The 16,374-nt window shown below is 55.3% G+C and overlaps 5 annotated features.

Moving 5' to 3' along the window:
• Positions 127-1,326: an enhancer, noted in NCBI's record as "P300/CBP strongly-dependent group 1 enhancer chr16:29166386-29167585 (GRCh37/hg19 assembly coordinates)". NCBI's record gives its function as "activates an origin of replication core promoter dependent on BRD2, BRD4, P300/CBP, MED14 and CDK7 cofactors, with strong dependence on P300/CBP, by STARR-seq in HCT116 cells {active_cell/tissue: HCT116}" and the evidence as "EXISTENCE:reporter gene assay evidence [ECO:0000049][PMID:35650434]".
• Positions 3,553-4,223: an enhancer, noted in NCBI's record as "H3K4me1 hESC enhancer chr16:29163489-29164159 (GRCh37/hg19 assembly coordinates)". NCBI's record gives its function as "activates a minimal SCP1, AML or CMV promoter by ChIP-STARR-seq in primed H9 embryonic stem cells {active_cell/tissue: H9 hESC(primed)}" and the evidence as "EXISTENCE:reporter gene assay evidence [ECO:0000049][PMID:30033119]".
• Positions 3,945-4,173: a silencer, noted in NCBI's record as "fragment chr16:29163539-29163767 (GRCh37/hg19 assembly coordinates)". NCBI's record gives its function as "represses an EF-1alpha promoter that drives an FKBP-Casp9 reporter gene in an ReSE screen in phorbol 12-myristate 13-acetate-treated (for megakaryocytic differentiation) K562 erythroleukemia cells {active_cell/tissue: K562(+PMA)}" and the evidence as "EXISTENCE:reporter gene assay evidence [ECO:0000049][PMID:32094911]".
• Positions 11,257-11,943: an enhancer, noted in NCBI's record as "H3K4me1 hESC enhancer chr16:29155769-29156455 (GRCh37/hg19 assembly coordinates)". NCBI's record gives its function as "activates a minimal SCP1, AML or CMV promoter by ChIP-STARR-seq in naive H9 embryonic stem cells {active_cell/tissue: H9 hESC(naive)}" and the evidence as "EXISTENCE:reporter gene assay evidence [ECO:0000049][PMID:30033119]".
• Positions 11,944-12,630: an enhancer, noted in NCBI's record as "H3K4me1 hESC enhancer chr16:29155082-29155768 (GRCh37/hg19 assembly coordinates)". NCBI's record gives its function as "activates a minimal SCP1, AML or CMV promoter by ChIP-STARR-seq in naive H9 embryonic stem cells {active_cell/tissue: H9 hESC(naive)}" and the evidence as "EXISTENCE:reporter gene assay evidence [ECO:0000049][PMID:30033119]".

The raw sequence follows: 16,374 nt of genomic DNA, 5'->3' as shown, positions 1-16,374 counted from the left end.
GGAGGCTGAGACGGGCAGATCACCTGAGGTCAGGAGTTTGAGAGCAGCCTGGCCAACATGGCAAAACCCCGTCTCTACTAAAAATACAAAAATTAGCCAGGTGTGGTGGTGGGAGCCTGTAGTCCCAGCTACTGGGGAGGCTGAGTCAGGGGAATGGTGTGAATCTGGGAGGCGGAGGTTGCAGTGAGCTGAGATTGCGCCACTGCACTCCAACCTGGGCGACAGAGCGAGACTCCGTCTCAAAAAAACAAAGAAGTAAAATCACAGTATGGCGCCTCCCCTCGTGCTCCTCCTCCTGCTCTGCTGATGGGCGCTGTGTGCGGAGCCTCCCTTTGCCATAGCTGCCTCTGACGATACGGCGGCCTCCCACCTTCACACAGCTTCCCTCACAGTCACTCCGACAGGTCCACCTCCCAGGTCACTCGCACACGACCGGGGCTCCAAGAAGCTGGGTCCCAGCAACAGTGCAGCAGCATCAAGCCCAGGAAAAGCCCCTCTTCCACGGTCCCTGAAGACACGTGGCACTTCCACAGTCCATGAAGACACGTGGCACTTCCACAGTCCATGAAGACACGTGGCACTTCCACAGTCCGTGAAGACACGTGGCACTTTCCACGGTCCGTGAAGACACGTGGCACCTCCACGGTCCCCGAAGGCACGTGGCACCTCCACGGTCCCTGAAGGCACATGGCACCTCCACGGTCGGTGAAGGCATGTGGCACTTCCACGGTCCATGAAGACACGTGGCACTTCCACAGGTATAAACTGGCCTGAGCCTCAGAGGCCCAGCCCTCCCCAGGGTCTTCTAGGCAGTCAGTGGCTGAGTATTCAGAGACCTGAATCATCTCTCCAAGTAAAAAAAGATCAAAGGGACAAAACAGGAATTTGCGGTGATTTTGTCTTCATTTTTTTCTTTTTGTAAAAAAACTTTTATTTTTGAAATAATTATAGATGCACAGGAAATTGCAGAGAAAGGCAGAGAGAGCCACACGCATCTGTCCTGGCTCTCACGCATCCCCAGCCCTCACATGCCCCCGGCTCTCACACGTCCCCGGCTCTCACATGACCCCAGCTCTCACGTGTCCCCGGCCCTCACACACCCCCAGCTCTCACACATCCCCGGCCCTCACATGCCCCCAGTTCTCACACGTCCCCAGCTCTCACATATCCCCGGCCCTCACGCATCCCTGACTCTCACTCCCACCCAGCCACACCCTTCAGAGCATCAGGCGTGCCAACACAGCAGCACGCCAAGCCATCAGCCTGGCATGACCCACAGGGCCCGTTCAGACTCTCGTAGCTCTGCATGCCCTGGTGTGTGTGTGTGTGTGTGCGCGCGCGTGCACTCACTTCAGGCAAGGCCATTTTATCACACGTGTAGATTCGTGTAACTGCCACCACCACCAAAGCACTAACTGTTCCCCTCATCACAGGCTGCCTCCAGCTGCCCCCCTGCGGCCCCTACTCCCCCCACCCACCATCCCCAGCCCTGGCAAACCACCAACCTGTTCTCGGTCTCTGGTTTGATGATGCCAGTTCCATAAACAGCGTCATGGCATGTACAGGCTTTTTGAGGTCAGCTTTTCCCACTCGGCAGAATTCTCTGGAGATGGTCCAAGTTGCTGTGTGCAGCTGGTCTGTTTGTTTTCATGGCTGAGTAGCGTTCCGCGGTGCGGCCGTTCGTGTGTCCACTGAAGGACGCTCGGGTTGTCTCTACGTTCTGCCTGTTACAAATGCAGCTGCACAGTTTTTGGCATGAAGATACGTCTTCATTTCTTTGGAATAAACACCCCAAGAGTGTCATTGTGGGGTTGTACATTAGTCGGGTGTTTACTTTTGGGTGAAACTGTCAAGCTGGTGTTTAGAGTGGCCATGCCATTTGCATTCCTGCCAGCAATGGAGGTCCAGGCCCTGTGCCTACACCACGATATCGCCGGTTCTGGAGGTCCAGGACCTGTGTCTACCCCACGACATCGCTGGTTCTGGAGGTCCAGGCCCTGTGTCTACACTGGGGCATCGCTGGTTCTGGAGGTCCAGGCCCTGTGTCTACACCGCGGCATCACCGGTTCTGTGCTGGCCGTCCTGATGGGGGTGTGGCGATCTCTGCCTGTGGTCTCAGTGCATTTCCCGACGGCTGCTGGCAAGGAGCACCTGCCACGCCCTGATTGGCTGTCTGCATCCTCTTCAGGGAAGAGCCCCCCCACGTCTTGCCCATTCTCACATCGGCTTGTTTTTTCATGGTTGAGTTTTGAGAGTTCTCTATACAGTCTGGACCCCAGGGCTCTAGTCGGGCGTGTGTGTTTGTGAATATTTTCCCCGCTCTGCAGTTTCTCTTTCCATCCTCATCAAAGAGCCTTTCCCAGAGCGCACGCTTTTCACCTGAGATGGGGAGGCCACCCTGGATGACCAGGTATCCTTACATGAGCGAGACGGTGGGGGGGGGGCAGGGTTTGCCCCCAAAGACGAAGAGACCACATGAGGATAAAGGCAGACATGGGAGCGATGTGGCCACAAGCCCAGGAATACCTGGAGTGCCCAGGAGCTGGGAGAGGCTGGAAGGGCCCAGAGCCTCTGGAAGGAGTATGGCTAGAGGGACCCAGAGCCCCCAGAGGGAGTACGGCTGGAAGGACCCAGAGCCCCCAGGGGGAGTACAGCTGGAAGGGCCCAGAGCCTCCGGAGGGACTATGGCTGGAAAGACCCAGAGCCCCCAGAGGGAGTACGGCTGGAAAGACCCAGAGCCCCCAGAGGGAGTACGGCTGGAAGGACCCAGAGCCCCCAGAGGGAGTACGGCTGGAAGGACCCAGAGCCCCCAGAGGGAGTACGGCTGGAAGGGCCCAGAGCCCCCGGAGGGAGTACGGCTGGAAGGGCCCAGAGCCTCTGGAGGGAGTATGGCTCGGCGGGCCTCTTGATTTCCCTTCTGGTCTCCAGAACTAGAGTTAGGAAGTCCAGGAACACACAGGGCCCCGGCACCTTTCTCTTTCCACACCACCGTCCTGGACGGTGCATATTTTTAGCGGAGCCCATGGCCATCCCAGATAAACCAGGGTCAACTCAGGAGGGAAAGCGGGAGGGGACGGGGTCGTGTGCACTGTGCAAGGCTGACATGAGCTGGAGGGGTGCACGGCGGTGACCCCCGAGCTTCTCCAGAGGAGCAACCTTGGCTGATCAGCCGGGACATATGAGCGTCACACATGTACTTGTCTTCCTAAAGCTTTTTATAATGTGTTTTTCTGATTATGAAAATAATATATATCTATTGCAGATCAGAAATGGCAGCAATGCATAAAATAATCCAGCCCCTTGAAAATAAACACAGTGGCTGTTTTTGGTGTGCTTCCTGCCACGTTTCCCCTTTGCACACTAAGGTTTAGTTTAAGTATTAATTAAATGGAATCACATCCTGAACGCGCAGAGCCCGGCACAGAAGACCAGGCGGCATGGTTAAGACAGGCTGGGCAGGGGCAGAACCAGCTGCGTTTCCCTGCGGAGCCACCGTTCACTGCCCTGCGACCTGGAGGGTTGGTGGTTGTTTTTTAAGTCACCTCTGGGTTCTGTTTCCCCGGCCCCAGAAGCATTATCTCCATGAGAGGCCACAGAAAGAGAAAGGCGGCTGAAATTTTTTACAGACTGATAAGACATTTTCCCCCTGGCCTGTTTCCAGTGCCCACTTCCTCCCAAAGCAATGGCGTCCAAGAATTCTCAGTGCGGCAGCCACAAGGAACCAGGTTTGCTGGGCTTGTAGGTGGAGAAGGGGAGGCACCTCTTCCCCAACAGCCCCTCTGAGCTCCCTGCCCCTCTGTGGGCCCAGCAAGCCAACTCACTGCACACACAGCTGCATCTGGGGGCCAGGCCCGCCTTCACCAGGCTGCAGAGAGGCTCAGACAGGGTCTCGGACGCCCAGGGCAACACTTGCAGAAGCTGGAGGCACGGAGGAGAATGCAGTACCAGAACCACGGCTCCGTCTACCCCAGCTCATGGGCTGGGAAGTCAGCTGGGCACCGCGTGTTCCCTGATCCAATCTCACCTCAGACTCCGCAGTGAGTGTGGTCCCTGTCATTCCCCACACCGGAGACCCCCGCAGTCAGTGAGTGTGGTCCCTGTCATTCTCCCCGGAGACCCCCGCAGTCAGTGAGTGTGGTCCCTGTCATTCTCCCTCAGACCCCCACAGTGAGTGAGTGTGGTCCCTGTCATTCTCCCCGGAGACCCCCGCAGTGAGTGAGTGTGGCCCTTATCGTTCTCCCCATTCACAGGTGGGCAGACTTGGGCACAGAGAGGTGGAGGGACTTGCAAAGGCCATGAAGCTGGGGGTGGGGGACAGGACTGGCTGTGGGGTGGGGGAGACCCTTCCTCAGCCACCCATGGTGCTCACCGGACATCATGGGACCACAGGACCTCCCATCGCATGGCCCACAGCCCTGCCCAGTGCGGCCCTGGCAGGAGCCAGGTGTCCAGTCCCACAGCACTCTCAGTGTGGCAAGAAATTTCCTCACACCCGGGAGCTTCTCCACGCACTAGACCACACGGTGAGCTTTCCAGAGCAAGAGGCTGCACGTGTATCTGATCTCCCTGCAGCCTGCACCGGGGGGGTGTCAAACCAGCCATGTCGGTGAAATTAAGAAGAAGGGACGCATGCCTCACAGCTGGGGCCCTGCACCGCCTGTCCCAGAGGGGCCACTTGTTACCCATTTAAGACAGGCCAGACCTGACCTACGATAGGCCCTTCAGCTGCGAGAGCCTTTGTGCCTTCACCACGGTCTGCGGAGGTAACTGAGACACAAAAAGCATGGCCTTGCCCAGGGCTGGAGGTAAACTGTTCCTCCCCCAGCCGGGCTTCAGCCACAGGTCCTCATGTCCTGCATCCACAGGGCTGGATCCTTGCTCACCAGGCTCTCCTGTCACCAAGTGTCAAAGCGCCAGAAGCCATGGAAACTCACCAGCTGGAAGAGCCGCCCATTACCCACGCACCTACAGTGAACTCAATTTCAACAAAGGTGGCAAGAACGTACACTGCGGAAAGGACAGTCTCTTCCATAAACGGTGCTGGGAAAACTGGCTACACATCCGCAGAAGAGTGAAACGAGACCCCTACCTCTCGCCACATACAAACATCAAGCCAAAATGGATTAAAGTCTGGAATCCAAGACCTCCAATGATGAAACTACTACAAGAAAACACTGGGGACAATCTCCAGGACATTGACCTGGGCAAACATTTCTCAAGCAATGCCCCCACACACAGGCAACCAAGGCAAACACAGGCAAATGGGGCCACCTCGAGCTAAAAAGCTTCTGCACAGCAGGCCGGGTGCAGTGGCTCATGCCTGTAATCCCAGCACTTTGGGAGGCCGAGGCGGGTGGATCACGAGGTCAGGAGATCGAGACCATCCTGGCTAACATGGTGAAACCCTGTCTCTACTAAAAATACAAAAAAATTAGCCAGGCGTGGTGGCGGGCACCTGTAGTCCCAGCTACTGGGGAGGCCGAGGCAGGAGAATAGCGTGAACCTGGGAGGCGGAGCTTGCAGTGAGCTGAGATCGTGGCACTGCACTCCAGCCTGGGCAACAGAGCAAGACTCCATCTCAAAAAAAAAAAAAAAAAATCTTCTGCACAGCAAAGAGAGCAATCCAGAGTGAAGAGACACCCCACAGAATGGGAGGAAATATTTTCACACTACTCGTCTGACAAGGGATTCATAACCAGAACATATAATGAGCTGAAACAACTCTATAGGAAAGAATCTAATCATCTGATTAAAAATGGGCAAAAGATCTGAATAGAAGTTTCTCAAAGGAGACACACAAATGGCCAACAGGCATCTGAAGAGGAGCTCAACATCACTGATCGTCAGAGAAATGCAACTCAAAGCTACCATGAGACATCACCTCACCCCGGTTAAAATGGCCTTTATCCAAAAGACAGACAATCACAAATGCTCGCGAGGATGTGGGAAAAGGGAACCCTCGTACCCCGTTGGTGGGAATGTAAATTAATACAGCCGCTATGGAGAACAGTTTGGCGGTTCCTCAAAAAGCTAAAAATTGAGCTACCATAGGATCCAGCAATCCCACTGCTTGGTATAGACCCAAAAGAAAGGAATCCATCTATCAAAGAGATGTCTGCAGTCCTGTGTTTACTGGAACTCCTGACCTCAAGGGATCCGCCCACCTCAGCCTCCCAAAGTGCTGGGATTCAGGCATCAGCCAACGCGCCTGGCTGGCACGCCTGTGTTTACTGCGGCACTCTTCACAGTAGCAAGATTTGGAAGCAACCTAAGTGCCTATCAATAGACAAACAGATAAAGAAAATGTGGCACGTACACAACGTAGTACTATTCAGCCACAAAAAAGAACGAGATCCTGTCATTGGAACAACGCGGATGGAACTGGAGGTCATTATGTTAAGTGAAATAATCAAGGGATGGAAAGAAAAACAACAGGTTTTCAGCCAGGCGCGGTGGCTCAAGCCTGTAATCCCAGCACTTTGGGAGGCCAAGGCAGGCGGATCACAAGGTCAGTAGATCAAGACTAGCCTGGCCAACATGGTGAAACCCCATCTCTACTAAAAATACAGAAATTAGCTGGGTGTGGTGGTGGGCGCCTGTAGTCTCAGCTACACAGGAGGCTGAAGCAGGAGGATCGCTTGAACCTGGGAGTCGGAGGTTGCAGTGAGCTGAGATGGCACCACTGCACTCCAGCCTGGTGACAGAGCGAGACTCCGTCTCAACAAACAAACAAACGAACAAAACAAACAAAAACACGTCTTCACTTATTCGTGGGAGCTAAAAATCAAAACGATTGAACTCATGGACATAGAGAGTGGAAGGAGGGTTACCAGAGGCTGGGAAGGGAAGTGGGGGGATGGTTAATGGGTACAAAAAAATAGAAGAAATGAATAAGACCTATTATTTGATAGTACAACGGGGTGAGCATAGTCAACAATAATTTGATTGTACATCTTAAAATAACTAAAATAAAATCACTGGCTTGTTTGTAACAGAAAGGATAAATGCTTGAGGGGATGGAGACCCCATTCTCTCTGATGTGATTGTTACACCTTGCATGCTTGTGTCAAAACATCTCATGTACCCCATGAATATATACATCTACGACATACCCACAAAAAAAGACTTTAGAAAAACAGCCCATTGCAGACTGGCCACTGCGGGGAGTGGTTTTAGTTCAAAAGCCCTTCCTCACGCTGGCCTCTTTGGCAGTGGCGTCACAGCCCCATTGCTGCAGGAAATGGTTTGACATGGGGCGGTGCGGGAGGGGCCCTGACAGTGGGGTTTAGGAAGCCACACCCGGCCCAGGTGCCTGGGGGCTGAAGAAAAGCAAGGGGCCTTCGACACTGACTGCAAGTGCCATGAGTGCCCGTCTGGGCCGCAGCGTCTTCATCTGTGAAGGGGGCTGGACCACAAGCTTCCTGAGCTTCCCTGCCACGGACACTGTGCCATCGCTGGCCCGGCTCTGCAGTTTCTAAGGTTTCCCAGTGCCTGTCCCGAGGCCCCACAGAGCCCGGCTGCAGACGCATGTCTCCAGCGAGGCTACACCCGGCCAAGCTGCACCTGCTGCCCTGGGCCCCTCGTGGAAATCCATTTGTTAGAGCCCACAAGCACCTGCCCAACCCGCACAGCACTCCCTGCGTTGGAGGCCATTTTTCTCCCCTCCCCACCTTCGATGGAAAAGGCATTTTTTGTCTAGAGAAGGCACTTTAAGACGAGTGGTTCTGAATGACCACGTTATGATTCTCACCTGCAGGACAGCAGCCCACGCTGGGAGGACATCTCTCCAATACAGTTCACACCGAGGCAGAGACAGGCCTGAAGTCAGGAGGCTGCACCAGGGCTGGGGAAGCTGCTCATGCCACGTGGGTGTGGAGGAGCAGGAGGGGAGCCTTGGGTATTTATTACTCACAGACACTGTAAGCAAACTGAATTGGAACAACCAGGCACTCAGCGACACCTGGGAGAGCCAGCCCCTGCCAGAGAAGACGGACGGAGACCGTGGTAGGCTAGGCAGCAGCCAGTTCAGTCCAGTGTGAGCGGGAGCAGAGTTCTCCAAGCGGACTGGCAGCGGACCACCTGCAACTTGTCAGCAATGTGGAGCCTCAGGGCCTGCCCCAGCCTCCTGAATCAGAAGCCCAGGAGGCAGCCCCCCGGGGGTCTGAACTCACCCTCCAGGGGGTTCTGATGGGTACTGGGGTGGGGCAGCCTCGGCCTGGGTGATTTGGGGAGGGGCAGTTGGACGTGTGTGTGACTCTGAAGCTGCTTCCAACTCTGAAGTGTTAATGATTTCATGCCTTTGTCTTCCTCATAGTATTTGCATTCTATACGTGAGGAGTGAGGGAAAAAGGAGTCACCAATGGTGAGGCCCAGGCATTCTGGTGCTAGGTTCTGGGTGGCTGTTTGCAGGAAGAGTTTTCTCGAATCGCCCACACAGACGGCCACCTAGCCTGACTCCTCCCGTGCCACCCACTCACATTTACTCAACTAACATTTGGTAAGAGTCCATCATGTGCCCAGGGGCCAAAGGTGAGCAAGCTGGCAAAGCCCCTGATCCCAGGGAGGAGACAGCGTGGACACAGACGCCCAGCATTGCCTGATCCCGGAGAGGAGACAGTGTGGACACAGACGCTCAGCACCTCCTGATCCTTGAGAGGAGACAGCTTGGACACAGACGCTCAGCACCTCCTGATCCTGGAGAGGAGACAGCGTGGACACAGATGCCCAGCATTGCCTGATCCACGTGACATTGGAGGCTGCCGGGGAGAAGCCTCATGCCTGGGTCCCAGGAAACAGATCTGAGTCTGGGAGGAGGTGCAGAGGCTCCTTGGAGCAACACCTGCAGGGGTGTGGAAAGTGGGCCTGGGCAGGGGGAGCCACTGGGCTGCAATGCGGTTGCAGCAGAGGCCTCAGCTGTTTCACTGTTGAGGCCTCACCCACAAAGAAGAGAGACCCTCTGTGGGTGTCCTGAATGGAAACATGAGGACCAGTCCTTCCATGCAGCTGCTCCCAGGAGAAGGCATTACATGGGGTGACACGGCAGCCATTTCCAGAGGGACCCAGCTATGAGCCGTCGACACCCCTGGCAGCTGGCACATTTGTTCTCTGCTTTTGTGTAACAAGTCACCTCTGAACTTGGTGGCTAAAAAGGACAACAGTCATTGATTATCTTGGTTTCTCTGGGTCATGAATGTGGCATGACTTGGCTGGGCAGCTGTGGCACAGGCTCACTCATGAGGCTGCCGTCGAGATGTCTTTGCTGGAGTCATCTGAAGTCCTGACCGGGGCTGGTGGCTCGAGGCCTCAGCACTCCCCTGTTGAGCCTCCCCACAGAGCTGCTGGCATATGGCACTGGCCTCCCCTGGAGCAGGTGGTCTTGGGGAGTGAGGGCAAGAAGCTATTGGTGCCCATGATGACCTAGCCTCAGCAAACACATGCGTGGCCCCCCCATACAGTGGGCAAGGCCCTGAAAGAGGGTGAGGCCAGGAAAGGAGGCCAACACCCTACAGTGTCACCACCACCTGCTTTCAGGGAAGTCACGCTGAAGTGGGGACCCTTGAGGCAAGAGTTCTCTGGGGAAACAGAGGTGGGGAGAAGATCCTAGGACATCAGCAACTCAACCCCCAAAGATCCTCACCCCCAGAAGTCCCCTTCACCAGTTTTGTGCAACTTGACAGCCTGATTCTTCAGGGTGGAAAGAGCAATTGAATTCTGGGCAGCAACCCCAGAGCCCTGTCTTCTGCCTTCACCCAGGAGACGTCGGGTGTGACCACTGAATCTCAGTCCAGAATCGAGATGGGCTGCACCAGCAGCCAGACCCAGACGCGCTGTCCCACAGGGATGGCCAGGGCCACAGTGTGATGGTGCAGGGCTCACCAGAAGGCGTCCTCTGTGCACCTCCATCCCCACATCCCCACAGACATGGACCCCCGTCCCCGCGTCCCCACAGATGTGCACCTCTGTCCTGGGATCCCCAGAGATGTGCACCTCCATCCCCGCGTCCCCACAGACGTGGACCCCCGTCCCCACATCCCCACAGACGTGCACCCCCATCCCCACATCCCCACAGACGTGCACCTCAATCCCCACATCCCCACAGATGTGCAAATGGCCTTATTTCTTCAAAGAGAAGGGGACAAAAATCCTCAAGAAAGTCTTCTTTTCTCTACCCTGCATCCACCTCCAAATGACATACAGATCGCACGGAGGAGTTGACTCTGGGGTCAGTGAGACCTGTGTGCAGGGCATGGGAGGGCACCTCAGCCCTCAGCCATTACCAGGCACCTGGGCTGCCATGACGTCACAAACTGAGGGCCTTAAAATGTGGTGTGGAGGCCGGAGCCCAACATGGGCCCTGTGGGGACAAAGCCAAGGGCTGCAGTGCTGTGCTCTCCTGAGGGTCCTTCCTGCTTCTGCAGCGTCTGCAAGCCAGGCGTGCCCTGACTTGTGGCTGCTTCGCTGTAATCTCTGCCTCCACGTCTGTGTCCCAGGGCCATTGCCTCTGTGTGGGCCGAATCTTCCTCTGCCTCTTCCTTAAAAGGACCCTGCCATTATGTTGGGCCCAGCTGGATCATCTGGGAAGACCTTGCCTCGTGACCCTCAGCCACCGGCAGTGCTGTGCACAGCAGTGGCATGGTCAGTTTCTGTGTCTCCACCCAGATCTCACCTCGAATTTAATCCCCATGATCCTAACGTGTGGAGTGAGAGCCCAGGGGGCAGTGACTGAATCACGGGGTGGTTCCTCCATGCTGTTCTCATGATAGTGAGTGAGTTCTTGTGAGAGCTGATGGTTTTATAAAAGGCTCTTCCCACCTTTGCTCTGCATTTCTCCTTCCTGCTGCCTTGTGAAGAAGGTTCTTGCTTCTTTGCCTTCCGCCATGATTGTCAGTTTCCTGAGGCCTCCCCAGCCATGCTGAACTGTGAGTCAATTAAACCTCTTTCCTTTGTAAATTACCCGGTCTTGGGCAGTTCTTTATAGCAGTGTGAAAATGGGCTAATCCAGGCATCAAGCACAGGTTCTGGGGATCAGGGCATTTGGGGGAGCCTTTTCCAGCTGGCCATAGTCAGCTTGTCTGAAGCCTGGGACAGTCACGGCACCTCCCGCGTGGGCCTGAGAGAGCCGAGGCACGCAGACCCCCGCCCGCCTGCCAGCACGCCCCAAAGGCAGAACTCGTGACCCTCGCTGCTGTTACTTGGATATTACAATGGCTTTTCACCCCATGAGGCTGAGCTGGCCATGGTGAGGGCCCAGTTTCTGGGATCTAGAGGGGTCTGTTTCTACCGAAAATCACCCTGGAGAGGCTGGCGTTGCTGCCACCCCTCCTGAAGGCAGACAGTGGGATTCCCGCCTGGGGGCGACGGCTTCAGCTAAATTCACCTCCTGGCCTGTGCGGCAATGGCAGGCGGTGGCTGAGCTGAGCTCCGTCCCACGGCATCCCAGGCTGGTGGCCAGCAGGCATCCACGCCCACCCCAGCCTGCACCTGAATGCCCGTCGCTGGGACCAAGAGCAGCCATGGCCCACCCAACCTGCCTTGGCTCACGTGGTGCAAAATGAACAAGGGAGTGTCTGCCGAGGCCACATGAACAAGGGAGTGTCTGCCAAGGCCACAGACAGTGGGGGCTGCTCCGGGTGCAGCATTGCAGAAAAGCCGCTGGTTGGCCTAGACACGTGGGCACAGGCAGCCTACTCCTTTCTCTGTTCACATTTGCTCTCTGAATCAGTTTTTAAAGTGAAAAAACATTTCAAAAGAAAATTAGGCAGGAGGTTGCAAAAATAAGGTGACACCAAAAGAAAGCTCTAGAACATAAGAGTACACAGGGTTCTCCTCTGCTAGACAGCCAATCTCATCTGTGGGAGTTTATCGTCCTGCCTCTCGGATGGAGAAAAATTCCTTCAGGAATCCCTGTGCTGAGCCCCATAGGTGAATCACGAGCAGGGAGAGGCGGGTGCAGGAGCCGCATGGAGGAAGAGGAGGGGCCGTCACAGCTCTGCAGTGCGCTGACTCCAGGGTGTGGGGGCGCGGGTGGAGGCTGGAGCACGGCCTGCTGGCGCCCGCCACACTGTCTCCCTCTGCAGGGACCCGGCTACCCAAGAAGGACACACACTGTGCTGGGCCAGATGTTGCAGGTGTGGCAGGGCAATGGGGTCTGGTTTTTAAATCCTCTGCTACTCAGAGGTGGCTGACCCAAGAGGCAGCTCCTCACAGACTCCCTGAAAGCAGCTTACTGGGCCCGCGCCAAGACCCAGTCGGCCTGCAGCTTGCAACCGTGATGGAGCCCCCTGGGCCAGGCCAGCCAGGCCCTGCTGTCCACACACGAGGTGGTGTGAGTGCTTGCTTCCTGGGTGTGCCCACCCTGACTTCTGGGATCCAGGGACTTCTCCCACCCAACCAAATCTGCACCAGATGCCACCACGTAGCACACATGCCATTAAACCCCTACCCAGTCATGGCAGACATCATCCATCAACTACCGAGCTCCCACCAGGGCTTCCGAGTCTTTACAACTTAGCACTCAGGCTTTCAGCTCTTCATCCGTTCCCAATTATGCTTATTTGCTAATCCTGCCTGGGGTTGCTGGGTTCACTGTGTCCCCCTGGGCCCTTTGAAAATGCTGTATGTAGTCAAGCATGGTGGCTCACGCCATAATCCCGGCACTTTGGGAGGCTGAGGCAGATGGATTGCCTGAGGTCAGGAGTTCAAGACCAGCCTGGCCAACACAGTGAAACTCCATCTCTACTAAAAATACGAAAATTAGCTGGGCGTGGTCACAGGTGCCTATAGTCCCAGCTACCTGGGAGACTGAGACAGGAGAATCCCTTGAACCCCGGAGGCAGAGGTTGCAGTGAGCCAAGATTGCGCCGTTACACTCCAGCCTGGGCAACAAGAGCGAAACTCTGTCTCAAAAAAAAAAAAGAAAAAGAAAGAAAGAAAGAAAAAAGAAAATGCTGTATGTGTTATAGAGGCCTTTATAGTGTTGAGGATCAAAACTCCTCTTTCCTTTTTTGTGACAGGGTCTCACTGTGTTGCCCCGGCTGGAGTGCAGTGGCACCATCCTAGCTCTCACTGCAGCCTTGACCTTCCCAGCTCAACTGTTCCTCCTGCCTCAGCTTCCTAACTGTCTGGGACTATACACACGCACCACCACCCCTGGCTAATTTTTTAAAATTGTTTCTTGTAGAGATAGGGTCTCACTGTATTGCCCAGGCTGGTCTCAAACTCCTGGACTCAAGTGATCCTCCTGCCTCAGCCTCTCAAAGTGCTGGGATTACAGACATGAGCCACTGCTGCACCCGGCCAAAATTCCCCTTAATACCCAAGTAGTTTCCTCTCCAGGAAAAAAATAACCAGAGGTCCACACACTGATAGTGAAACGCAGGCCTGAAGGAAGTCTAGCTGGAGGCCTCCAGGTGTAAGAAAAAGGGAGGGGTGGGGAGCACATTTTATCAGGCTGTGGGGACAGGCAGAAAACAGGATCACAGAAGGATAGGAGTGTCCACACTGGCTGGAGCCAATGAAGCTGAAGTTTCTAACCTTTCTTTAGGAATCTTTGTAGGCTCAGACAAGAACATCTGGGGTGGTGCTGGCTGCGTGGACAGGCCCCCGGAATGTGACGCTGAGCAAGGGAGACACTCCCAAAGGGCCACGCATTGTGTGACCCGCGCATGGGACAGGACCAGAGCTGACGACTCCTAGACTGAAGCAGAGTGTGGCTGGCGGGGTCAGCGAGAGGCTGGGGACTTAACGTCCGGGGTAATGAAAGGGGCAGGCAAGAGGCTGGGGGGGCTTCAGTCTAGGGTAATGAAAGGGGCCGGCGAGAGGCTGGGGGCTTCTGTCTGCGGTAATGAAAATTTCCAAGTTGATAGTGGTTGTGTGTGCACATCTCTCTGCAGTCTAAACGGAATTGCATTTTGATGGGTGAACTCTATGGTATGTGAAGTGTATCTCAATAAATCCCTTGTCTTTTTTTTTTTTTTTAAGATACCGTCTGGGAGGCAGATGACGTCCCCATCGGACAGTCCTGGTGCAGGCAAGGCCCGGAAGCTTCCCTGCCAGGTGGCCCTGGCCAGTGTCTTAACCTCTCTGATGTCCCAGTTTTTCAGCCATGAAAAGAGTTGAACACTGTTTGCCTTGCGGGGCTGTGTGGGCTTTGGCAAGGAGTAAAAACCACCCTACAAACCACCTGGGGCAGAGCAGACGCAGGCAACTCCCATTCCTCAAACAGCAGCCCTGGCGACTGTCACACGCACTGCAGCTAAGAGTGACGAATGCGGTGACCATCCTCGTGCCACGGAGGATTATACCGCCGACCCCTCGTGCCACAGAGGATTATACCACTGCCCCCTCGTGCCACGGAGGATTATTCCACCGCCCCCTCATGCCACGGAGGATTATTCCACCCCCCGTGCCACGGAGGATTATTCCACCACCCCCTCGTGCCACGGAGGATTATTCCACACCCCCCCCCGCGTGCCACAGAGGATTATTCCACCGCTCCCTTGTGCCATGGAGGATTATTCCACTGCTTCCTCGTGCCACGGAGGATTATCCCACCACCCCCCCATGCCACAGAGGATTATCCCACCGCCCCCCCTGTGCCGTGGAGGATTATTCCACCCCCACCCCGTGCCACGGAGGATTATCCCACCGCCCCCACCCAGCCTCGGCGTCCCAGGGCTCCCGTGGGGTGAGAAGATGATCTGATTCACGCAGGAGAAATGAAACTAGGAACCCCCACTCTCCCGATCCCCCCCAAGGGATTAGGGAGGGGGAGATTCGGGGGGGACAAGAAGGGCAGGCCCCAAACTCAGGCAGTGACAGCCCCACCCAGGAGCCCCAGCACCGGGTCTTCACGCCGGTCCCGAGGGCGGGTGGCTGGAAGCATTTCTGAGTTTCTGAGCTGGGTCTCTGGCAAGGGGCACTGGGCAGCCCCAGCAGGTGGAGAGCGCAGACCAGCTTGGTGTGAAGGATAGAGAGCAAAGCGTCCAGTGCCCAGCCTTTGAGATCTCACGGCCCGTGGACTGCTGTGGGGACAAACAGAATCAGAGCCGAAGGGCGGCCAGGAAGCTCTGCGTCCCTAAGAGCCACCACACTGGGCGAGAGGCCCTGCCCATGTTCTTTTGTTTGTTTGTTTTTGTTTGTTTTGTTTTGTTTTTTGAGACGAAGTCTCACTCTTGTGCCCCAGGCTGGAGTGCGATGGCACGATCTCGGCTCACTGCAACCTCCACCTCCCAGGTTCAGCCTCCTGAGTAGCTGGGATTACAGGTGCCTGCCACCACACCCAGCTAATTTTTGTATTTTTTTAGTAGAGATGGGGTTTCACCATGTTGGCCAGGCTGCTCTACAAACTTCTGACCTCAGGTGATCCACCCGCCCTGGCCTCCCAAAGTGCTGGGATTACAGGCGTGAGCCACCAAGCCTGGCCTGGCATGGCCCTGCCTGTTTTTAACCAAAAAGCCACCGACGCCTTCTGTCCTGTTCCTGCTCAGGACACTGGAAGGTGTGATAAATCACCAGCACATGGGAATTCTGAACGAATATCTTAGATCACGCCAGATTTCTGCACAAAGTGTAAGGACACTGGGCGGGGGGCAGGGGTCGGCGGGGGGAATGTCACTTCTGAGGCCGGCCTGTCGCTAAGCTCAGCCACTTTTCTTCCCTGTTCTGTCTCTTAAGTCCCCTCCTGGAGTTTACAATCCTGACCTGCCACCCTCACCAGGATCATGACGGAGCCAAGACGCACCCGCGGCCGACCTCCCAGCGTGACGGCTTTCTGCTTATGTCTACACGTCATGGAGGAACCTTCTAAAGGAGTTTCAGGAAGTTTATGTTTGGAAGCTGCGATTGTCACTTTCGTTCATGGCCCAGCTTTATAATGGGAAACAGACACCTCACCGAAGTGCCAGGAAGGGGTCTGCTTTGAAACGTGTTCAAATGAAAGGATTGAGGAGAGCCTAGTTCTTATAAATATCGTAAAGGCACTTTGTTATTGATGGCGCCTGCTTCAGATTCGCTGTGGACTTGCAAGCCCCAAACTCGTCCTGCCCCTGGGTGGCCGGGGCACCCGGGCCTTCTGCCTCCACACTTTGTTTTTCTTTTTCTTAAAAAAAAAAAAAAGCGTAATGAGCTGCACGTTTAACAACATGTTTAGCTAATTGAGTCTGTCCACGGCATATCCCAACCTGGGCGCTGAGAGATAAGCCGGTCACCTGGAGCGTGCCACAAAAAGGAGAGAAGACAAAGCCAGCAGCTAATAGAAATCGTTAATTGGGGAGGACGCCCCTAACCACATCAGATCAAAGATGCAGGCGGACTCTTCCCACCAAACGAATTCGCCTTTGAGCTCTTGGCATTGGGTTCAGCACTCCCTATTAT

The sequence above is a fragment of the Homo sapiens genome, chromosome 16 (assembly GCF_000001405.40).
Source record: "Homo sapiens chromosome 16, GRCh38.p14 Primary Assembly".
Lineage (NCBI taxonomy): Eukaryota > Metazoa > Chordata > Mammalia > Primates > Hominidae > Homo > Homo sapiens.
Note: the sequence above shows the minus strand (reverse complement) of the source record. Positions and strands in the feature narration are given on the sequence as shown.